Source organism: Homo sapiens, chromosome 18 (assembly GCF_000001405.40).
Source record: "Homo sapiens chromosome 18, GRCh38.p14 Primary Assembly".
Taxonomy (NCBI): domain Eukaryota; kingdom Metazoa; phylum Chordata; class Mammalia; order Primates; family Hominidae; genus Homo; species Homo sapiens.
In genome coordinates this window covers 72,684,697-72,710,843 of record NC_000018.10, presented here as the reverse complement: position 1 = coordinate 72,710,843, position 26,147 = coordinate 72,684,697, and the positions used below count along the sequence as shown (strand labels likewise).

Genomic DNA, 26,147 nt, shown 5'->3' with positions numbered 1-26,147 from the left:
TTGAAAAACTGTGCTAGTATATAAATATACAACCTAGTATATACATATATTTATTAAAATAAATGGTGAAAAGTCACTTTAATGATAAAATTATTTTCAAATGAGGCACCAAATGTTACCTTGGTACTTCTACATCAATGTTCAGTGTTGGGAGTGCAGTGAGGCCCAGTAAAGATTCACGAGTATGTGTTTGAGTCAGCACTTAGGGAGCGGGAGGCCTTCTGCAGTTGAACAGAGAAGGAAAGGGTGAGCTGATCAGGGGGATGTGTAGAAAGGTGATAAGGTGAGGGCTGTATTCAGGCCACTGTACCTGGAACATGCTGTGCATGGGCCAGACTGGGAAGGGTCTCCACAGCCATGACAGGGGATTTAGACTTTATGTGTAGGCAACTAGAATAGAGGAAGTATGGTGCCAGAGAAGTAGTAGGAACAGGAGATCAGAGAATCAAGGCTATGATTTAAGAGGATTCTCCTGCAAAATATGTGTAATATTGCTTTGAACTGATGTGTGGATGTGTAGATGAGCCTGGATGTGTGGGAAACAATTAGAAAGTGCCATGAGAATAACACCAGCTATATATTTTCATGCTTAATTGCTTATATATTTTCACATGTTATAAAGTTAAATTCTTATAGCATTTTACCACTGAGAAAACAGAGGGCCAGAAGTTTTAAAACGCTTGTAAGAGGCTTCAGGGATAGTAATCAACTGTGCTGGGATTAGAATATAGGCCTGAGAATCAGAGCACCGAATTATATTCAGTAGTTGGATTTTTTGCTAGATTATTGTTGTTAAGGTGAGGGCACCCTAAACCCTGCTGAGCACTTTCATTTGATTTAATGGCAGAATATAGAAACAAAATTGTAAAGAGCTTATTGAAGCTAAAGAGAGGCAATTCTGAACTACCCTAATTCGCAAGAACTGAACTGTCCATTAAAAAAACCAACATTCTATTGAGCTTCTCTGGTTAGAACTTCATGTGCCTATGTGCATATGACATACACCTGTGTAGATCCTACCAATTCTGTAATGCAGTCACAAACTAGTGCACTCCAGCTCACCCTTCCTCAAGACTGTAATACTGATGGCTCACTTTGTAATAATGAAATAGCTATGTGTATCATAATGGAGATTCGTCCTTTTCAAAATCTTTCTTACTAACAGATACATCACATCCAACATGCTAAGCTTTACTCTGGATATGGACAGAGTGCACTAAGAGGACATCACGAGGTCCTTGCTGTGTGCCACTGGAAAACCTGCATGAATGAAATGCAGTTCATGTTCTCTGTGGAGGCTGCATGTGTTTTTGTTTGTTTTTTTTTTCTTACTCTCCGCCATTGCTCTATTCTATCAGATCCTTTCTATGCAGTATATTATTATTTCACATCCATAGCTCTATAAAAGCAAATTATACCCTGATTTCACAGATTTAGGAATCAGTCATGGAAACAGAAGCACATGTAATCAGTCTTCTCATTTTAAGAACTAAGAGACTAAGACTTTAAGTGGTGAAATAACTTGCCTAACAAATTACTGACCATACCAAGTCTACGACTTACATCTCATGAGATTCACAGTATGTGCAGAAAAAAAGGAAGCCAAAATGTTGTTTGTTTAGATTTTAGTGCCTACCTACTTCCTTGTTTTCTTGTCATGCCTGTTGCAAAGCAAAGGCCCCATGCACATTCTGTCTCCAACACAACAATACATTTTTCCCATGGACAAAGAGACTCTGCAGGTCTCTATAGTCAGGGACACTAGTGCTCCTCATGGGCAGATTGACAGCTTCCATGTCTCAGAATGTCATGACTTGGGTGTCAACTCTACAAAGTATGTTCCTGTGCATTAAATTTTAAAAAATATCTGAGTTCTGTTTGACAGTAGCATTTTGGGAAGAGGGATAAATAGTCTGATCAGAAATAGAAGCAGTTTCTATCATCAGCTCTGCTACTGACTTGCCATGACCTTGAGTAAATCACTTAATTTTGTGATTTCCCCAAGGGCAAAATATTCAGTTTATATTTCAAATTGAAAACATCTGCCTAAAGGTGTTACTATATTGTTTGTTTTTCCAATAACTACTTTCCAATAAATGAACTGCCTAAGGTAACAGCTTAAATAATAGTCTTTCTCTCATTTTATATTCATGATATACTAATTATTGTAGTGTTAATGATATACTAATGATATACGAATTATTCTATCTGTTGCACTGACTTCTGTCACATAGCTCAAAATCATTCTCCCCTTGCCCCATATTCTTATCTGAATTCAGGTGAGCTTTCGCCTGCACACTGTGGACATAGGTGAGGGAAGCAGGGACTTTGATTGGCCTCTCTTCTGCTGGGACATGGCACTTGTCTACATGGAGCAGCTGGCTGATGAGAGCCACACATTTTGTTGATTAATCCCACACGTAATTTGAAGTGTGTTTATACCTGTCAGCGAGCAGTTTTATAACACCTCCCTTACGTTTTACATCAACAGCATTAACCAGAGCTCATGGTGTTCATTTACCAATAGGAATAACAGATGGCCTGTTATTGTATCTTTTTCTTATATAACAACTTCTAGCTGGATTTTAAGGTACCCATCACGCTAACTAACAAATGACAGTGGGTCAGGATGCTAATTCACAGCACGTCAGCACATCAATTTGCCAGAAGTTTGTTTGTGTAAGGAAACAACTTCATAATTGTTCCCTCAGATACTACATGCCAAAAAGACACCTTCTATAAATCCTTCTACACACGTTAACTCAGTGTCTTAAAATGTTTTGCCAGATGTTTAGAAAGTACATCAACAGCCTTTGTTTCTTCTTTGACGTTAAATTGTCCTTATTGTAATCAGAGATATGGAATTAAATCTCTGTTGTTTCTCTAAAGAATAAATCCTTTCACAAAAGGAAGCCATTTCTGATGCTACATAAGGGTAAGTACATGTTTGGCTATGGCTTAGTTACCTACATTGCCAACCAGAGACTTATCTGTTGAAGGACTTTTCTCAAGTACAGTCATGTTTTGGTGACTTTCCATTTAAAGTCTTTATGCAAATTATATATCTATATATATATATATGTGTGTGTGTATATATATATAATTTTTTTTTTTTTTGAGACGGAGTCTCACTCTGTCGCCCAGGCTGGAGTGCAGTGGCGGGATCTCGGCTCACTGCAAGCTCCGCCTCCCGGGTTCACGCCATTCTCCTGCCTCAGCCTCCCGAGTAGCTGGGACTACAGGCGCCCACCACCCCACCCGGCTAATCTTTTGTATTTTTAGTAGAGACGGGGTTTCACCATGTTAGCCAGGATGGTCTCGATCTCCTGACCTCGTGATCTGCCCGCCTCGCCCTCCCAAAGTGCTGGGATTACAGGCGTGAGCCGTTGCACCCGGTCATAATATATATTTTTTTAAAAAATGTAAACCACAACATACCTAACACCCAATGGCAATTTTTATTACAAATTACTGAAAAAATAATTTAAAATATTGGATAATTACATTGTTTTAGGTTGGTGCAAAAGTAATTGCAGTGTTGCCATTACTTTCAATGGCAAATACCGCAAGGACAATTGCGCCAACCTAATAATTGTAAGAAACTGATATTCTATGATACAAATATTGATCCAGCCTAAATTTCCTGTTATAAATCTTGGTTTGTTGCCCTTTTTAACATCTTCTAGGAACCATTCTGTAAATTCCTATAAATCTATTTAGTTCAATGAAGTTTTACTTGATACAATTTTTTTCTTTTGTTTCCTTTGAGATACTTTCAAGGGATTATTTAGAAGTATATTGTTTAGTTTCCAAGTGTTTTGATTATTTTCACTTATCTTTCTGCTACTGATTTCTAGTTTGAGTCCACTGTGATCAAGGAACATATTCTGTGTAATTTCGGTTGTTTTGAATTTATTGAGGTTTGTTTCATGACCTAGAATATGGACTTTCTTGGTAAGTCTTCCACGAGCACTTAAAAAAAATGCATACCTGGCTCTTGTTTGAAATGTTCTATGATTATTGATTAGAATCTGTTGGTTGGTAGTGTTGTTGAATTCCTCTATATCCTTGCCGATTTTCCGTCTAGTTGTTCAACTACTTTTTGAGAAAGGGATATTGAAGTCTCCAGCTATAATGATGAATTTGTCTATTTCTCCTTCCATTTCTATCAGTTTTTGTTTCACATCTTTTGCAGATCTATAGTTTGGCACTTACACATTTAGGATTGCTGTGACTGCTTCCTGGTGGATCATGATGTGTTGACTGTCTTTGTACCTGGTATTTTTCTTTGCTTTAAAGTCCACTCTAACTAATTTTAATAAACTGCTTCTGCTTTCTTTTGATTAATGTTTGCATGCTAGATCTTTTCCATCCTTTTATTTTCAACCTATTCATTACATTTGAAGTGACTTTCTTTTATAAGTGGCTTAAAGTTGGATTGAGTTTTATTTTATTTTTGTCCATTCTTCATATCTCTGAGTTTTCATTGGTGTCTTTAGACCCTTTAACTATAATGTAGTTATTGATGTTAGGGCTTAAGTCTGCTATTTTTTTATTTTTATTTCTTGTATTCTGTTCTTCATTCCTTTGCCTCCCTGTGGGTTAAAGTTTTGTTTTAGATTATTTTTATTTATCTGTAAAGTTTTGAGTGGATCTCTGTGATTCCTGGAATCAGTGGATCTCCTGATTTTCCATCTAGTAGTTCTCTTGTGTAGTCTCTTTTAGTGATTACTTTAAGATTATATAGACCTCACATTACATTTTACTGGTGCCAACATTTTGCCAGCTTCAGTGAAGTGTAGAAACTTTACCACTTTTATGTAACCTTACCTCTCTGTTTATATGTCTTAAATTTTTCATTTACCTGCATTGAAACCCAGAGCAGTGTTATATTTTTCTTCTACCATCAAGCATAGTTTATAAAACTCAAAAGGAGAAGAAAAAACTATTGTATTTGCCCACATTTTTCCTTATTGTGTTCTTCCTCCTTTATGATGTTCCAAGCTCCTTCCTTTATCTCTTCCTTTCTGTTTAGAGGAATTCCTTTAGCATTTCTTTGAGTAGGTGTGCCAGAAACATAATCCTAAATTTCCTCCATCTGAGAATGCCTTGACTCTCCCTTCATTACTGAGGGATCTTTTTGCTGAACATAGAATGGAGGATTGATAGTCCTTTTCCTTTAGCACTTAAAAAAGAAAAAAAAAAGAAACACAAACAAACAAACAAAAAACAAACAAAAAAACTCTGTGACACTTCCTCTTCTCACCTCATGATTTTTGATGAGAAATCCCGTCATTAGAACTGTTATTTTCCCGAAAGGTGAGGTATTGTTCTCTGCTTTCATTTTTTTTTTCTCTATCCAAGGCTTTCATAAATTTGACTATGAGGTATCTTATAGATTTCCTTGGTTTTATACAGTTTTTAGTTTACACAGCTACTTGAATCTGTAGGTTTATGTCTTTTTGCCAAATTTGGGAACTAGCCATTAATTTTCCAACTATGTTTTCAATCCTGCCTTCTTTCTTCTCTCCATTTAGGATGGAGATGATACATATTTTACATCTTGGGGTATAATCACACAGGCCCTTGTGGCTCTATGCAATTGTTTTTGGTCAACTTCTCTCGTTTTTAGCTGCTGTGTAATATTTATTCTTCTGTCTTCAAGTTTACTGATTCTTTTGATTCTCCAATCTATAATGGAGCCCGTCCATTGAGTTTTGTGTTCTAGTTTGATTTCACAGTTCTAAATTTGGTCCTCCAATTTTCAATTGGTTCTCTTTTGTATCTTTTATTTCTTTCCTGAGAAATAAATACCTTCTTTATTTGTTTCAAGTGTGCTCGTAACGTTGAAGCATTTTATTGTGGCTACTTTAAGCTCCTCATCAGACAATTCTAGTATCTGTATCTTCTTGGTGTTTGCAGTCTGTTGGTTCACTTTTTCTTAAATGAGAAAAATTTTGTTTTTCCTGCTTCTTGGCATGACAAGTGACTTTCAGCTGAAACCAGGACATAATATGACCCCTTGGATTATATTTAGTTTTCTGATTCAGCGGGCTACCTCTCACACTTGTCAGACTGGGGGAGGAGGCAGCACCTTATTAGTGTCAGGTGGGGTTGGAGGTCCAGGTCCCCGACTCAGTCTATGTTGACAGGAAAGGAGGGGATAAGGGCTGTTCCTTGCTGTTGGTGGGGTGAGAATTTGGCTCCTCAGTTGGCCTTAACTAACACTGCCCGGGCTTGGAGGAGTAGGGGTCTTGTACTGCTCCCCAGTTGACCTGCTCTGACAATGAGGGAGGGGGCTTGACTAGTTCAGGCAGTTGGCTACTAGTGAATGTCTTGAATCTGTCCTAGCCCCTTCTCCAGCAGGGGTGTCTCATTGCTGCTGAACGGAGATGAAGTCCAGGCTCCCTACATGGTCTGCGCTGGCACTGCAGTGTGGGGGTGTCTTGTTACTGCTCAGCCAGGGTGACACCTTCCTTGCTACAGTCTAGCAAAGGTGGAAATCTAAGCTCCCTACTCCCTTTGATGGCGGTGGTGGGGATAGGGCCTCATTTGCTCCTGTGCTGTTTGCTGAAGTAGAGAACGTATTGTCTGAAATGTTCTGTTTTCCTATGTTGCACCTTTTCTGATGCTTTGGCCAGAGAAAGCAGGCTTTTGTTGGGACTTATTTTGACTGTGTCCGTTGATGTTTCCAGGTTGCTGACAGAATTCTTCAGTTTCAAGTCTGGGATATATAAGGCCAAAGCAGACCAAGAACTTATTATTTATTCCTTCCTTGGGTCTCATATTTACTACCTGGTCTCTTTCCTTCTGACTACATTTCAGAGTCTTTTTATGTTTTCTTTGTACATAATGTTCAGAGTTTTGTTCATGCTTAGCAGAAGGAAAACGGGAAAAGTACTTCTACTTCATGTTAACCATAAGCAGAAGTTTTCTATATTTTTTAATCTTTAAGGTGTAGTATTCCTATTAATTTATTAGAATTAATAAGGCAACAATGTCCTATTTATTGACCAATTCAAACAAATCATGAAGTCATTCTTCTCACAGCCAATAGTAGAGAAGGAGTGTTAAACCTCTTCAGAGCCTGGCATTGTATTGTTGCTAAGTAATAGGTTTTCAGATAGTAACAAGAGTTTACAGGGATCACATCACAAAGGAATTGAGTTGACAACAGTTTGCATGTAGAATAATAACTCATGTTGCCTGTACAAATCCCCCCACTCTAATATTTCATTAAGTTATACATGACCGAAGTAAAAATTGAGAAGTATGAACAGAAGATAATACATTTTTAGCCAAGATATTACTATTACTACTATGAATTTTTCTCACCTATCTCTGAAATTATTTCTTGTAACTTAAATATCAGCACCAAAGAAAATATCATCTATATATGATGCATTCAATGTTTACAATTGAATTTAACAATTTAAAACATGTTGTTTCATACTTTAAATCAGATTTGCACAATTTGTTTAGCATAACAATTTTACATCATTTCCTTTGCTGAAGAAAATTGAATATAATTTGGAACCATCAACATTAAAATAAGTACCTGATATGGTCTGGATGTTTGTTCTCTCCACATCTCATGTTGAAATGTAATCCTCAGTGTTAGAGGTGGGGTCTGGTCAGAGGTATTTGAGTCAAGGAGGTTAATCCCTCATGAATGTTTTAGTGCCCTCCTCTTGTAAGTGAGTTCCCACTCTGAGTTCATTTGAGATTCAGTTGTTTAAAAAGTGCGCGGCACCTCCCCACTGCCCTTGCTCTCTCTTGCCATGTGATGCACCTGCTCTTGCTTCTCTTTCCACCATGATTATAAGCTTCCTGAGGCCCGCACCTGAAGCCAAACAGATGCAGGTGCTGCACTTGTACAACCCTCACAACCATAAGCCAATAAACCTTTTTTCTTTACAAATTACCCAGCTTCAGGTATTTCTTTATCATGTTGCAAGAACAGACTAATATTATTATTATTATTATAACCCTCAATATTATTATATATTAGGGGGTTGTTTGTTTCATAAATAGTAATTGCATATTTGGCTTTTATGTATTAACATTCAGTATCCATTATCTGGAAGCTTCACTGGTTCTTATTCCTTTTCATCACTGTGTATAAAGCCATTTCAATGAGCAGAACTGGCAGTTAAGGAAGACTTTCAAAGAAACTTTATTTATCTAACTTGAAGAGACATATGGTAACTCAAACTATAATTTTTTAATGTTTAAGAATTGAAATAAATTTATGGGGCTTAAACTAGGTCTGTGAAATGAAATATGACCTTTTTATTTTTGTATTTACTAACATTACTTATATTAATATTAATAATATTACTTATATTAATATTAGCAATATTACTTATATTAATGTTAACATAATTATATTGGTTCATAAATGTAGCAGTTTAAAAAAGTGTTGTTAAATTCAAAGTAAACTATTTTAAGTGATTCTCATGCAGAACCCATGTATATGTGATGAATACTAATGCTACAAATGACTCAAATATGGCAACCAGTTATACATTTGGGTTTGTGAGTAGGCAATTTTTGTAGTGGAAATAGTTTGACTTTGGAGTGATACAGACTCAATTTCGAATATCCAGTTTTGGATGTTTGATTTTGGTTTTCTCACTTGACCACTATCAAATATGTTGCATAGTTTATAAAATGGCGGAGGGGTGGGTTGTGAATTTTGCAGACTTGGGTGGATTATGAATAATCTTTCTTTGAGAAAGAGTATCTCAAAGCGTTTTTAAAATAGTCTCATGCAACATTCAGTGAAAACAAATGAAAAACAAACAAACAAACAGCATCTAACAATCTCCTACCTGGTCTCAAGGCACACCTGACTCGGTTAAAGGAGGAGGCTCACATCTGTAGTCCCGCAGCGGCTGCCAGGTGCCTTCTACCGAGTGTAGCAACATCCAAAGATCTGATAGTCTGAGGCTTGATGCAGGAGTGGACAGTGCGGTTTGCATGCATTTCCAGAACCCTGATGGATTTATCCTCTTCCTTTCAAATGAAGTGGAAATAGAGACTGCAAATATCTGAGCATGTGGAACTTTGCTTTTCTAAGTTGTGGGTCAGCATCAGTAATAACAGAAAGCTCCTTCAGCGGTTGTAATGGTTAGAATCAGTCTCCAATTTTATTTAAAGTCGTGTGTTAACAGTAGAAAATATTCCTCTAATGATGACATGACTTGAAATGGATTTTCTACAAACACACAAAGCTGAGAGAGTGAAATGTATCACTAAACAGCTACAGAAAATTCCAAAAAATTATTGCCTAATGAAGTTTCTAGATTCTTAAGGAAGTATGAGGGTGACATCTGGTGGGGAGAACAGAACATGCCTTGTTATGAATTTTCAGTTTCAGGGCAACACCATAATTCCATTTTCATTGCTCTAAGATTCTAAATCATATACTTCAGAGATGAGTATATTTTCATAGTTACAAAGATTTGGTAGTAAAAATGTGTGAACAGCATATGGTCAATTGTCAGGAGAAGGCTAAGTGCAATTTAAAAACTAAATACAGAAATGACTTACAGGAATCATACAAGTGTTGCTTATCTAAATAATAGAAAATAAAAGTGCAGCTAGCATAAACAGTTGATAGCTGAGTAGTTTGCAGAAAATAACTTCTAGGTCTTGCTCCCCCACCAACTGGAACAGCTGTGGTTGGATAATTCCAAGTGATATTTGAGAACCATATAAAATTTACTGTAAGCTCAGCTGCACCAATACAACTAAGCCCTACTTTATATAAATAAATGCAACAAGTCCTACTTTATATAAATAAATTTGGAATAATTCTTCACATAGCTGAGCCTGGATATGTGCTCAGGACATTGTATCAGTTGTACAGATATGCAAAATGCAAGGGTATTATAACACATTCAGGGATGCAGATACGGCCTGTATTGTTTGCTGTCAGTCACCTCACTAAGAAACCTGATTCACCTGTACTCTGAACAGTAATACATAGAACTAGAAAAAATACCATTTGGACAAACATGTGGAGCAATGCTAATTGATCCTATTTTCTGGAGAGATATATATATATCCGGATATATATATGTGTGTATATATATGTGTGTATATATGTGTGTATATATATATGTGTGTATATATATATGTGTGTATATATATATGTGTATATATATGTGTATATATGTGTATATATGTGTGTATATATGTGTATATATGTGTATATGTATGTGTGTATATATGTGTGTATATATGTGTATATATGTGTGTATATGTGTGTATATGTGTATATATGTGTGTATATATGTGTGTATATATATGTGTGTGTATATATGTGTGTATATATGTGTGTGTATATATGTGTGTATATATATGTGTATATGTGTGTGTATATATATGTGTGTATATATATATGTGTGTATATATATATAGAGAGAGAGAGAGAGAGAGAGAGAGAGTTTTACTCTTGTTGCCCATGCTGGAGTGCAATGACATGATCTCAGCTCACTGCAACCTCCACTTCCCGGGGTTCAAGCGATTCTCCTCCTGCCTCAGCCTCCCAAGTAGCTGGGATTATAGGCATGTGCCACCATGCCTGGCTAATTTTCTATTTTTAAGAGACTGGGGTTTCACCATGTTGGTCAGGCTGGTCTCAAACTCCTGACCTCAGTTTATCCACCCACCTCAGCCTCCCAAAGTGCTGGGATTACAGGTGTGAGTCGCCATGCCCCGCTTATTTTCTGGATTTTTAAAATGAAAATTACATAAATACTGAGTGTAGGTGGTAATCTTGGGGTGATAAAGCATGTGATTTCCTTACACTCGTTGGCCTTCCTAAAACACTTTCACTAGTTTTTAATAGACATTTTAATTTAGATAATTATAGAGTTAAATATAATTATAAGAAATAATACAGACAGACAGATCTCTATTATATTTTGCTTGACTTCCCAAATGGTAACATTTTACAAAACTATATATAATATCACAATCAGGATGTTAACGTTTATATAATTCACTAATCATATTCAAAGTTTTCCAGTTATATGTGTTCTCATTTACATTGTGAATTAAGTCCTGCACAATTTTATCACCTATGCAGTTTCACATATCCATCATTTTTATTAATTTTTGAGGCCAAACGGAGCCATCATAGAGAACCCATATATTGATTTGCCATTTTCAAATATCTGTTAAGCATCAACTTTTTATTCATCTTGACAAACAGTATGTATTTTTATTTTTATTTTTATTTTTTGAGATGGAGTCTGGCTCTATTGCTCAGGCTGGAGTGCAGTGAAGCGATCTCGGCTCACTGCAACCTCTACCTTCAGGGTTCAAGCGATTTTCCTGCCTCAACCCCCTGAGTAGCTGGAATTACAGGTGCCCGCCACCACGCCCGGCTATTTTTTTTTGTATTTTTAGTAGAGACGGAGTTTCGCCATGTTGGCTAGTCTCAAACTCCTGACCTCAAGTGATCCGCCCACCTCGGTCTCCCAAAGTGCTGGGATTACAGGCATGAGCCACAGCGCCCAGCCTACAAACAGCATGTTTAAAATATGATACTGATTAAGATTTTGTGAAAAACAGAATGGTAAAGGAGGTCTTATGCATTTGAAATACCAGGAAGTCCATGTAGAATTTAATTAATTTAAATAAAATTGATTTCCATCTCTGACAAGTATACTAGAATGCTTGATTATTAAATGATATGAGTGTTAAGTTCAAAATGTGAAGGATCTGAGATGTTACTCGCAAGTCAAATAATTAGGCTGGGATGGATGGATATATAGATATGTAGATATACATTAAAAAATATGAGAACTTTGTATTGGGGAACACATTTTTTATTTTCTCACAGAGACTCTTGTGTCAGTTTTCCATGGCCCAGTTGTCTGTGAGACAATGAGAGCGAGATGTCACCTGTGTCTCCAATGGGATTTGTGCCACAAGAGAGGAACCCTGAAATTATGACTCTAGGAGCTTTTATAGGATAGTTGGCCCATCTGCCCCTTCTTGCCTCCAGAGTCACAGGAGCAAGAGTTAAAGCAAGAAGGAGACCATGCTCTGAAATGTAAACAAATCCTTTCTGGGGAGAGAAAAAGATCTCTATTTTTTTCCTTTATCATCCTAGAACATAAACAAATGGCTTCAGGGGAAAGACTTTAAGTCTATCAGAGAAATGAAGTATCTTTAACTTACAAGATATGTTTTCTACTAAGCCATTCTTTTGCTGAGGTTTTTAGTATTCTTTGCTCAGTAAGTCCCAACTTTGCGGAAATGTGAAAATATTTATTGAATATGTTTTCCACAAAGAGGACACTCGTACCTCTGGGTAGGATAAGTAGCTCACATCAGGCCAATGCTACCTGTGAGAATTGGAAAACCTGTGCAACCAGGGAGTATTTAAAAGCATAAAATTCCAGAAGACAGAGAAACTTATAGGGCTGCTATGGCAGTATTAGAGAAATAAGCTGAGCTTTCAGTGTTTGCAGAGGGATTCAGTGGCACAATTGGATATTTGACAGACTTCAGTCATACAGCTGATCTTTTTCTCAAAAACTCTGACACATTTTGAATCATTGATGTGAACTGTGAGACTAAAGACATAAGCCAAAACCTCAGAGAAGTAAGTGAAAATTCTCTTCAACAAACCATGCTGGGAAAATTGGTTATCTACATATAAACAAATTAGCCTTAACCCTGAACACATGCGATTGCGGGACTTTTCCTTAGTTCAGCTACAGACGGGGTCCTGGTCACAGGGTCATGAAAATGTAGGCTTGCAGACCATTTGAAGGGTGAGGAATGCAGGGTTTTATTGGGAGAAAAGGAAGAAAGGAGAAACGACCCTCTGCAAGCCAGAGTCTCTGCTAGTGCACTTCCTGCCTCGCAGTCTGAGTCGTAAGTTCCACACAGGAAGAGAAAAGGCAGGCTCCTCCCACTGCAAAGAGTGCAAACTTGCTGAGGCTTCACCCCTGTGTGCAGGCTGGTGGAGTTTTCCCTGGATCCTCCCCCACCTGGTAGTGTCATTCCCGCCTCTAAAGAAGTCTAACCAAGTGTCATTAGAATAAGGATGAAGACAAGCCTGATATGTATTTATATTTATCTTTATTTATTTATTTTTTTTGAGACGGGGTTTTGCTCTGTCACCCGGGCTGGAGTGTAGCAGCACGATCTCAGCTCAGTGCAATCTCTGCCTCCCGGGTTCAAGTGATTCTCCTACCTCAGTCTCCAAAGTAGCTGGGATTACAGGCATGTGCCACCATGCCTGGCTAGCCTGGCTAATTTTTGTATTTTTAGTAGAGACGAGGTTTTGCCATGTTGGTCAGGCTGGTCTCAGACTTCCGACCTCAAGTGATCCACCCATCCTGCCCTCCCAAAGTGCTGGGATTACAGGCACGTGCCACCAAGTGGGCCCGAAAATCGATCCTAAGTGCTTTCTACTGACGGGGTATGCTGTTTGGGGAAACAGCAGTCAGGGCTCCCTGTGAGGCCTGTCTAAGGGTTGCCAGCAGAAGGGGCCACCTTCAGAGGCTCTGGTTCCATTGCTGTTTGGAGTTTGGTTACCTGCAGGCAAGAAGAGACAAACAGGGTGATTAGAAAACATGTATCAAAATGAAAAAGGGCAGGGGTTAGGACAGCTCAAAAATTTCAAGGCCTTTTACCAGTTTGCACAGAGAGAGGGAGGCCAAAAGCCCAAATGGTTAAATAAACTTTACCCTTTTGCCAATATGTTAGGCTTCTGGGTTCCCTTCCCCTGAGCCTAACTGTAAACCAACCAGTTTAAGGCTTGGGACATTAACTTTTCCCAGTTTGGATGATGCATCTGAGGGGAGTCTCCCATAGTACAGAGACACAATTAACTATCAGCGAAGAGAGTAGAGGGAGGAGAAAGGAAAAAAGACAGCATTTTTTCAAAGGAGTCCCAGGAGTTCAGGATGCATTTGAAAGTGGTACAGACTGAAGATGAATGGCTACCCATCTAGAACGAGGAGAGCAGGTGTCCCCATTTCCTTTCTCTTCCTAGCAGATATCGGGGGTATGTGAGTGATAGAGAGAGGTCTTTCCCTCTTCCATCCTGTATCTCTGAGTCCCGGCAACCTTGCCAGGTGCCACCATGGGTGTTAAAACAGTTTGCACCCATGAAGCAAGGAAGGCCTAGAGAGCAGGAATTATTCACTCTTACCTATGTCTCTTTCCTGCTTACTCTCGGTAGTCTTGGATTCCCTAGACCTCATTTATGCCATGGATAGTAATGTGGCCTTCATCCGTGAAACGAGAAGCTCGGTTTAATTGGCAGGAATCAGCCACGCTCACCTGCACTGCGCCTTTTAACTTCCATTATCATTTGCCTCTGGATCCCTCAGATCCACTTTTCCTTCGTAGGACTTTGAGCCAAAGCTTGGAATTGAGTTTGGGACAAAAATTTGTCTTGGGAAGGTTGCTTGGACTCATTATCATAAGTCAAACGCTAAGGTAAAACTGTGGCATTCAGTCCTCCTCCAACAAGGGAGAGAAAAGGATGCCGTGTGACACACCCAGATACCTGGTGGCTAGAGTTACGCTTGCTCGGATTTGGGTGCATGGTAGTTGGCTTTGGTTAGCTCCCTTGATCTTACTTTCCCAAAAGGAAACCTCTGAGTGATGGGCATCACCTGGCAAGATTTGCAGGATAATTGTTCAAAACTAGAATACTGATCCAGATTTTTTTTTTTTTTTTTTTTTGAGACGGAGTCTTGCTCTGTCACACAGGCTGGAGTGCAGTGGTGCAATCTTGGCTCACTGCAAGTTCTGCCTCCTGGGTTCATGCCATTCTCCTGCCTCAGCCTCCCAGGTAGCTGGGACTACAGGTGTTGGCCACCATGCCTGGCTAAATTTTTGTATTTTTAGTAGAGACGGGGTTTCACCGTGTTAGCCAGGATGGTCTTGATCTCTTTACCTCGTGATCCACCCACCTTAGCCTTGCAAAGTGCTGGGATTACAGGCATGAGCCACCAAACCCGGCCTTGATCCAGATGTTTACATTACCCATCCCTCTTGTTCTTTCTGAGCCGCGGCTGGAGATTGCTGCTACGTTCACAGGAACAAGCAGAATTAGTCTAAAATATAGGCAAAACTTAAAAACAACTAATGCATTTAAAATTTAATGATAAATGTATGATAAGGTTTGGAACATAATTCCTCTCTCTCCCATCCTTATTTTTGTTAAAAAAAAATCATCATAGGACTGAGTGGTTTGCAAAATATGCTATAGTCTCATACTTGGCCTGATAATTTGCATAAAGTGCAGCACGAATAATCATTTCTACATAGGCCTTTTGGATTGGCTCCAATGGAATTCTGTTCCCCAAGGAATCTCAGATAAGACTTTTTAAAGCTGATCCCAGCCATAGGTTTGTATCTTCAAATATCTGTGAGTTGGGTGATCCTCAACTCTTAAGGTCCCAAGACAAATTTGGAGCTTCTGGACCTGTTACAAAGTGACATTATTTACTGACCACACAGGTCAGGAACCGTGTGCAGGGACTGCATAGACAAGGGTATGAGGCCAGTTTCCCCACTGGGTTTTATTGGCTCTGAAAGTCTAGATTGACTCCTTAAAGGGAAGCCTACCTTTCCAGTCAAAGCCATGGTAAAATAACCAACTTTTTCCAATTGTGTCCTGTTGCAAAAGAAAAGTGGACTCTTACTGCACTTATGGAAACAACTATATTGCCCTAAGTTAAAAATACTCACAGATAGTTTCCAAATTCTAGAGGAACCAGGCAGAGAGAAACATGTTCCAAATTTTGTTCATAGGAGTATACCATACTCAATTATTAAAGGCTGTAAACATTTCAAAATAAGTTTTGTTGATTCCGAAAAACAAAACAAAGATTAGAAATATTCTGAGCAAAAGTTAAAAAGGTTGCTTCAGTTTCTGAGTTCAGTCCATTTAGTTAACTCTTGTTTTGTTTGATATTTGTGAACATTTTAGCTCTTCAGGAGTCCTGCACATTTTCCTTTATTCCAATATTACAATCACCAAAATTATTTGAGAGCACCTGTCAAAGTTCCATAGCTTATTATAAACCATTTTTTGAAAAGGATTAAAACAAGACAATTGTCTACAAATAGCAAAGTGTCCAGGGTAGTTACGGTTAGAAACATGATTGAAAAAGAAGTTTGATTATCTCTGTGGTTTACAATAACTTAACATAACAACCTTAATTACGATTGACAGCATACACTTATACATTAGAATTTTAGAAATTCCATACGATTTTGGAACACATATTAGCATTATTCACAAAAATATAACCTAAACACCATTTGACAATCCTATGTACCTAAACATGTCAAATACTCTTGTTTACCTCTCTTTTCTGGACACTCCAGGGGCCCTCTGAAGTATCCAAAAAGCCAGGTGTCAGCAAAGACAATTTTGAAACTGAAATTTGATTTTGTGAAGCCGGATAAATATGTACGAAGTTCAAAACACTTGATATTATGAAATATAATTCCAGATTACTATAATTTATTTTGCCAAAATGATGACTCAGAAATTTTAAAGAAGCAAAAACCTTTTATAACCCCTTACAAATTTTGCCAAAGAGCAGATTAGCACCTTAAGAATACCTTGTTGTGCTTTTATTTTAATATCCAATTTACAGCAAATCCATATAATACTTTTTTTGAATTTAGTCTATGTTCACACACAGAATTTCTTTTGCAAGATTAATTTCCACAATCCTTCCTCCCCTTGTTTGAACCTTCAGCTGTATCTTGTCTAATTTAAAACAATCCTTTAACCCTAGGCAAAAACTGACACTTCCATACCTTCTTATAACCTTTTACTAAAAAACACATTTTATTGTTCTAACACACCTGGTATGTAAATCTAATTCCAGTAGTCTCAATTACATGTTATAATAGTAACTCCTAGCAATTTTTAACAGTAATGTAAAACCTGATAAGTTGGGGTTTTTTATTATTACTGATTTATTTATTTATTTGAGATGGAATTTTGCTCTTGTTGCCCAGGCTGGAGCGCAATGGCGCTATCTCGGCTCACTGCAACATCTGCCTCCGGGGTTCAAGCGATTCTCCTGCCTCAGCCTCCCCAGTAGCTGGCATTACAGGCGTGCAACACCACGCCTAGCTAATTTTGTATTTTAAGGAGAGACGGGGTTTCACCATGTTGGTCAGCCTGAAATCTAACTCCTGACCTCTAGTGATCCACCCATCTCGGCTTCTCAAAGTGCTGAGATTATAGGCGTGAGCCATTGCACCCGGCCGGTAAGTTGATTTAATTGTGTGCTAGGTGCAGCCAAGGTTTGACTTTTTTCAGCATAATTAAGGGTGTGGTTAGTTCCATATGTCCCAAGGCCTTAACGATTGTGAAGCTGGGAAGTCAAATAATTCTCAAAACCCAAAAAGAAGTTTGTAACCTTAAGTCACTTAGCCAACCTTGCATCTGACCTGCATAATTTAGTTCATCTATTTACGTTTTAATGACATCGCTTTTTACCAATAATCTTTAAGGCTGTTTTTATTTCTCAAAGATTAAGTCACGTGAACCAAAAAGTACCAGAGCTTTTATCTTCCCTTTAAAATTATTTGATCCAAGTGCTTGTCTTTCTTTAGGCCCAATTACTTAGAGCTGTTTTTACAGATATCACACACACACACCCCTACACAGACAGGCAGGAGAAAACCCAGTTCCCACAGGATCCTTTTTCACAACTAAAACTTTTAGGAGAATATAAACAGTGATAGTTGGGTTGGGGCGGGCTGGCCTAGTAAAGTGTCTTCTAACAGAAAAAAACAAAACAAAAGAAAACAAAAAAACTTGCTTAAAAGTTAACTGCTGACAGGGTAGAGAAGAGGAAAGAAAAAAGTTTTAAAATGCCTGGGGAAGAACCTCTTATTTCTATGCAAGTGTTTCCTCCACAAGGGAGACAAGTTTAATTGCTGTGGGTTGGAGTTGGCCTCCCTGGCCCAGGGATGGGGAGACTCCGTGGGCATGTGGCAGAATAATGCCAGCCAGCTGCCCGTCGTGCCTTGAGCCATATGTGCCAGCCCCGGCAGGGAGGGACGGGTGGCTGGGAGCCACTGCTCGCCAGTCTGTCCCGAGAAAGGCAGGAAAAGGCCATGAAAATGCCCCCCTCCCCTGGGAGCAGTGGGGGTGGGAGCACGGTTTCCCCTACCCTCAGAAGTCTGAGGATGAACAGGCTTAGAAGGGACACTGAGGTGTTGAGTCCCCATTTTGCTTACTGCTTCTTGAGCCCCCACGTTGTGTGCCAAAAAATTTGCAGGACCTTTCCTTAGTTCAGCTAAAGATGGGGTCCTTGTTACACAGCCACGAAAATTTAGGATTGTAGACAATTTGAAGGGCGAGTAAGGCAGGATTTTATTGGATGAAAAGGAAGAAAAGGGGAAACAGAGACACTCCACAAAGCCAGAGGGGAAACAGACACTCCACAAAGCCAGAGTCACTGCAGGTGTGCTTCCTGCCTCACAGTTTGAATCCCAGATTCCACACAGGAAGAGCAGGAGCCAGGCTCCTCCCTGCTGCAGAGGCTGTCAACTTCTGTGGCTCCACCCAGCGCGCACCCCTCCCAGCGCGCACCCCTCCCAGCGCGCACCCCTCCCAGCGCGCACCCCTCCCAGCGCGCACCCCTCCCAGCGCGCACCCCTCCCAACGCGCTGGCCAGTTGGAATTTTGCCAGGGAGCCCTTCCCACCTGGCCGTCTCAATGCCACATAAAAAATTAACTCAAAAGGAATCAGACTCCTAAATGTAAAACCTAACATCATAACACTTCTGAAAAAAACATAGGTTTTATGACCTTAAGCCACAAAAACAACCATTAAAAAAAGATAAATTAGTTAATCCAAAGTAAAGCATTCTAGTTTTTCTTTAAGACAGCTTTGTGAAAATGGAAAGACATTCCACAGATCCGAAAAAAATGCGAAACATATACCTAGGAAGAACTTACATGTAGTAATGTAAAGAACTATTTACAACTCAATAGTAATGACTACCAGTCCAATTTGTTGAATACATTAAAACATTACAGATATGGATTATAAATAAATACATGAAAAAGAAGATGAGCATCATTAGTCATTAGAATAATTCAATAGAAAAGCACAGTGAGATACCATTACATTCCTACTAGAATGGCTTTTTAAAAAAATAAGTCAGTAGAAGTACTGAAACTGATATTTTCCTGGTGATAATGCAAAATGGAATAGCCACTTCAGCAAAGAGTTTGGAAGTTTCTTATAAAGTTATATATACACTTACCACATGTACCAGTTTTCATGCTACTGGATATTTATGTATACAAGGAAAATACAAAAATATGGATACAAAACAGGCACGTTGCAAGTAACCTCTGTATGAGGCAGCAGTAGGCTGAGGCTTCAATAACATCCAATGCAGCCTTAAACTAAACAAATAGAAGACTAAACTCAGGAAGGAGAGTAACACCAACATTGGTGTTGTCCATTCCAGTCATGCCACACCTGGAGCAGTTCACCCCATATTGTAAGGCAGGTAGACAAGCTGAGGAATGTTCAAAATGGGAGTGATAGGGCACAGCTAAACCCTGTGCCATGCGGAGAATGCAGAAGAATACCGGGCATTTAGCCTGAAAGACAGAAGACATGGGGATATAGAACGGCTAACACATAGGTATAGTATGCTTATTTTGTATGTGAATAAGAATAGAAATTATGGAATATATAGGGTAAATAATTCAAGTTTAAAATAAAGCATTGTCTGAAAACATTACCCAGAAAAAAGGCTTTTTCCCCAGTTGCGAGATACCATTTATTCAATAAATGTTTCTTACATGTCTACTATTACATAACAATTCCCATAAATTAAAGTATCATGTCACTTCACAATAAGCCCAATTCAGGGTCTTTTTGGGGGCAGTTTTGAGACAGGTTTCTGTGTGATCTGTAGAACACAAGTAAATAAAAACGAACATTCACTGAGCTCAAGTGTTTGCTCTTTGCAGGTGCTTTCTAAATGCTCTACATGTATTTACTCAATTAATCCACGCACCTCTAACACCAGTGTTTTCCTGCTTCCTTCTGCTTCTACTTTTCCAACACCCTGCCGGTCTCTCTTTACCTGCTTTAAAAGCAATGATGTTACCCTCGGAAATCCTGAATCTAATTGTGTACATTACCCTAGGATGTAAACGCCTTTGTGCCTTAAACAAAGCAACATTGTAAAATATTGGATTAGATATTGAGAAAGTGAGTGGCTTAATGACTAAGTGACAAATTATTTTATAGCTCAAATGGGTTCTAATTATATGGTTTCACAATATTGAATGAGGCCTGTTAAATAATATTTTATTAAGGATATGTAAGATCATGGTTTTCATGTTATTAGAAAATGAATGCGTGTCAAACATTTTTAAAAGTAGTTAAAACTGACTCATAAGATAATTCAAAGACAAGATAAACACATATGTACACGGTCAGAAATGCTGAGATTAATTGCTAAGTGCTGCCAAATTTGTCAATATTCATAAGCATAAAATGTAATATTCAGATTATTTCTTCCATGAAGTAGAAATCAATTGAATCTTCACCAGATGAAATTTACGTCTCTCTAGACATAAATAACTTGTATTTACAATCAGTTTTTCTTCAACTTCAAGAGTTATAAAATTCAAAGTCAATGGAATACAAACACCCTATAGAAGTAGATAATTCCAAATGGGCTGCTAATTAACAACCAGAATTCCATTTTAAAGATACCCAGTAGAAATTGTGCCCATTTAAAGTTTTTTATTGACGGTATTTCCCATCCTTGTGCTTGTCAAAAGCCCCAGAAATTAGATTTTTTATCACAAACCAAAAAAATGTTGGGTTTATTAGGTTTGCTCTAATTATTCATTGCTGTGTAAGAAATTATCCGAAACCTAGTGGTTTCAAAAAACACACATTAATTTTGTTACAGTTTCTCTGGCCCAGGGATTTCTCTGGTTCAGGACCCTGAGCTGTGACCTCTGCAGCATCAGTCATCTGAAGGCTCTGACTGGGGAAGAATCTGATTTTATGCTCAGGTATTTGTAGTAGTTACGATTCAGTACTTCAAAGCTTGTTGGACAGAAGACTTCTAGCTACCTGTTGGCTCAAGGTTGTCCACATTTCCTTGCCATGCTAAAGTGTCTGCTAAGTAACAACTAGAATTCCTTCCTTCCTCTCCAACATGCACCTTGCTTCAGCAACGTGTGCATTCTAAGATAACCAAAGAGAGAGGATCTGCCCAGTAACACAGATGTTGCTAACTTCTGCAGCCTAGTCATCAGAATGACAACTCATGAGCTTTGCCACATTCTGTGGGTTAGGAGCAACTGGGAAGTCAGCCCACCAGGAGGTAGGGATCCTTCGCGTTCATCTTACCGTCTATCCACCAGAACGTTAGATTTATACGGGTGCCGCAAGAGTGTTAATTATGCGGGACTCTTTGAGTTCGCTTTGCAAATAAAGAGCCATGCAATACTGAGCATCTGAAGTCACAGAATTAACTCCGGTGTGGCTATTTTCATAAGGAATCTCACAGTGGACTTTTAAAAACCTCTGTTACTTGCTGTCCTCAGGGGGAATAATTAAAGCCAAGCCTCTGTCAATTATATTTAACCTGCAGTTCCTATAAACTTGAGTAAATTCCTCTTTTCTTATGGCACCTCCAACTTTTCCAAGTTAACTTCTTAGCCTGGAAGCAAGGATCAGGTCAGTATCCTGGGAGAATTTTCCAGCCCTGGATTTACATATAAAGTGGAATGTCATATATGATTTAATGAGAACATTTCCAAATATGACACTCTGAGTAAGGCTTTTGTTGTACAATTGATTTCTTCCATTTATGTCTAGATGTGAAGGAGAACAGATTTTATGGAACCTACATAAGTAATGATATATCACTATCAAAAATACGGAGACTCAGTAAGAGTTTTTACATTCTGAGGTTCAATAAAAGGTTTATTTCAGTTTATAAAAGCAGAATCTAATAAAAGAGTTGATGATTAGAGACAAGAAAAATGAATTTCTATAAAAAGGGAAAAGGCAGCATCAATAATATTGAAAGTAAATAGCTATAAATAATTCTCCCTATCAGCTAATTATCTGCTGTGTAATTCATTCTTGTTCTGTGAAACCTAGGGTCAAATAACTGGTTTCATGAAGAATGGTTTCTTCTTGACTAAAAAGAGTCCTGGAAATCTTGATTTGGTTTGCTGGTCTGGTCCAAAAGCTGCCTTGATGAAGTCAGCTCAGAAGCCTGTAACTTCTTTGAGTATTTATAGTTTAAAGCACCTGATACACATTTTCCATGAGGCTGTGCTCCTTCTTTATTAAATACACAGAATATGACATATAGCCTATAGATGCTTCAGGTGAGCATCAGAAAATAGGTAAAAACGACTTACTGGCTTTATTTATTTGTTTATTTATTTATTTTGAGACGGCATTACGCTCTGTCACCCAGCCTGGAGTGCAATGGCGTTATCTCGGCTCACTGCAATCTCTGCCTCCAGGGTTCAAATGGTTCTCCTACCTCAGCCTCCCGAGCAGCTGGGATTACAGGTGCAGGCCACCACGCCCAGCTAATTTTTGTATTTGTGGTAGAGACGGGGTTTCACATGTTGGCCAGGCTGGTCCCAAACTCCAGACCTCAGGTGATCCACCCTCCTTGGCCTCCAAAAATGTTGGGATTACAGGCGTGAGCCACTGCGCCCAGCCTTTAATGGCTATTTTTAATGTATTTCTGTGGCCAGTAAAACTCAAATAGGGTAAATTAGAATTATCTGCTGAGTAACCATATATAACTATTTCATAAGAGTTTTTATCTATCTTGGGGCAAGAACATGCTCAGGGCCTTCTCATAAAATATACAGTTTCTGAAATCTTCACGTTGATTACATCTTATCTAAACAAACCTAGCCTAGGGAAAGTGCAGTGTTTCTTCTGCTTTGATATTTCTTTACATGTATCTCTTGGACTAGTAGAACTAAATGGAAATTATGAAATATATGAAACAAACTTAAATATCTCTAGTATTTTTTTTTCCTAACGTGAAACAACAAAACTTAGTGTTTTTCTGGGGATCTTTTGAATTTTCAATGATGTTTTTTAGCATTAGAGGTATTTTAGTTTTGACGAAATTTAGTATTCTATTTTGAAAAGGCAAACATCAAAACAGTTGTCAGAGGAGATTTGGACATTCAAAAAGATAGGGTCATGTGTGTCTGAGAAACAACACTTGGTTACCTATTTATCAAAGTGACAATAAAATAGTTTAAAATAAGCATACCAAGAAAGTAATACAATTGCAAGAATTCTTAACTCTTTTGCCATCAAGGGCATGACAAAGTCAGCACAATGCAGATAAAATTTTGGGGGTGAGATATGGAATGTCCGATATCTGGGCAGCTTCTACAGAAGGTATTATCCCTAGTTTAAACCAAACACTCTGTTACCAATATATCATTTTAGCAGAGAGAATACTAAATTTTAGCTTTTCATTTTTATAATATTTAGGAGTAAAGGATCCATGAGCTCCCTTTTAAAACTATCTAGTGAATAAACCCATCAAAACTGAGCAAACTCTTAAAAATATTAACACATTCCATTACTTCTTTTGGGATCCATCATTTGAAGTTTTAAAACGAGCTGGATACATTTTCTTTCTGCAAATATTCTATGACTTTCTGTATCTATTCAAGGTTTGTCTTGTACTATCTTCTTTCATTTTCTAGACTGACTAGTCACTTTAGGACCAAACTGCATATTATTTTTCATTCATAAACAAAAAATTAATCTATCACTTTGCTCCAAGACCTAGAATTCTTTCCTTACTGCTTTTAGTACAGCACTAATTAGCGACATAAACTATACATTTTGATAAAAATACCTAACTTTACAGAGCAAATTGGGAGTATGAATTAATAAATGTGTGCCATCTACAAATATTTGTAGAAAATGAGAAAGCACCTGGCGGGGTGGCTCATGCCTGTAATCCTAGCACTTTGGGAGGCCGAGGCGGGTGGATCACGAGGTCAGGAGATCGAGATCATCCTGGCTAACACGGTGAAACCTCATCTCTACTAAAAATACACAAAATTAGCTGGGCGTGGTGGTGGGCGCATGTAGTCGCAGCTACTCGGGAGGCTGAGGCAGGAGAATGGCGTGAACCTGGGAGGAAGAGCTTGCAGTGAGTGGAGATCGCACCACTGCACTTCAGCCTGGGGGACAGAGCGAGACAGCGTCTCAAAAAAAAAAAAAAAGAAAGAAAAGAAAATTAGCCAGGCCAGGCCTGGTGGCGCATGCCTGTAATCCCAGCTATTCCAGAGGCTGAGGCAGGAGAATCGCTTGAACCCGGGAGGCAGAGGTTTTGGTGAGCCAAGATGGTGCCATTGCACTGCAGCCTGGGCAACAAGAGTGAAACTCTGTCTCAAAAAGAAGAGAAAGTCTCATGAATACACATAGTGATACACATGCTTTGGATACTAAAATTAGCAAAAATTAACATGTTCCTTAACATGACCTATAAGATAGCCTCTCTACAGCAATTAAAACTATATCAGCTATATCAGTTAAATACATTGCATCGCATATCAACTAAATGTGTGCTTAGAAGTCAATGTTTTAATTTCCTAGTTTAGTTGGAAATTATGTAGGTATTTAAGAATTGTTCATTAATTAGCTCCATTTAACATTAGACTAAGGTTTTAGTACCTACAGATATTGGAAAATGTGTTGAAACTGATACACTTCAAAATATAGTTACTGTTAGTATAAAATGTTTATGAGAAAAGCGATTCATTTTAGTTGAACACAAATTGCTTTTTCATAATCTTAAACTTTATATTGCAGTAATATTTTTTCTTTGATCAGTAATTTGTATTAGATTAGGAAATTCAGATTACTCTCTACATGAGAAAATGAATCCAAGTGAAATACAATGTACGCTTGTGCTATCTAGGATACTGATAATCTAGAAAACATACAGCTCGCTTTAAAAGTCAAAATTATTAAGAGTCTGATTTGTCAAAGCTAATTTTGTGAGTTGAATTTTTAAAATGTGTCTTGAGTTAGGAAATTCTTAGATGTTTAATTTCCTCTCTTCTGGAATTTTAGGAATATTAAATTGATATAAGCATTTATTTATCACTTCAAATACATTAGAACAGAGCTCCTTTAACTTAAGAGAGTTAAAATCAAATTTATTAATACCATATAGAGACAGGAAGACATATTAACTTCACACAATTTCTCACATATAGACACATAGACACATAGGGAGTATATAGCTTTAGTCCCAGCACTACAGCTAAAGGTCAAAAATAAACACAGAAAGAAAAACGCCAACAAAATTTACCAGTGCTGATGTCAAAGAGCTGTCCTTTCCACTGAGCTCAAAATTCTTATTGATTTGAGCTCAAAATAGCAAATCCACAAACAACAACAAAAATACTAAGAAAGTGGATTCCCTGTTCTCTCTTATTCAAGCAAATAGATTTCACTCATTCATTTTCAGATATCTGAAAGGGTCAGAGAATAAAACCAAATCCCCAGTTATTGTTGCTACAAAAACAAGCAAATAAATACAGAAACAAATTCTTGTTCATGTGCAAACCAGAAACAAGGACACAAAGGCTGTGTCTCTAAAAAAAGACACAAAAGGAAGAGTGAACGTGTGACTCTAACAGAGGCATGGAACACACTCATCAGGCTCATTAGTCCCAAAGCCTCTTTAAATTTATTAATTACCAAGAAAGGTGAGTGGATCTGCAGCTATTCCTCTCTCTATGCATTCTCCATAGAGTGTATTTGTTAGCATTTCTGTTTTTCAAGATTACTCTGGTTATTTCAAGCCTTCTCATTACATTATCCTTCACCTTCTTCATCGCAGAACAGTCTTCAAAATACAGTCAGAGCAATTAAGAAAAACAATGAAGATCTGATGCAATTCCTTTTCTTTAGTTTTCCTCATGCTCTTGGCCTGAAGACGACTGGATCCACCTGCCTAACTCAGCAGCTAGCAACCTCCTGCACCACTCCATTTTTCTCTCCCTCCCCCTTCATTCTAGTTTATACCCATCATAGTTAATTTTGTGTGTCAACTTGAGTGGATCA

The 26,147-nt window shown here is 38.2% G+C and overlaps 1 annotated feature.

Annotated features, from left to right (window-relative positions):
* Positions 18,346–19,129: an enhancer, noted in NCBI's record as "OCT4-NANOG-H3K27ac-H3K4me1 hESC enhancer chr18:70358950-70359733 (GRCh37/hg19 assembly coordinates)". NCBI's record gives its function as "activates a minimal SCP1, AML or CMV promoter by ChIP-STARR-seq in naive H9 embryonic stem cells {active_cell/tissue: H9 hESC(naive)}" and the evidence as "EXISTENCE:reporter gene assay evidence [ECO:0000049][PMID:30033119]".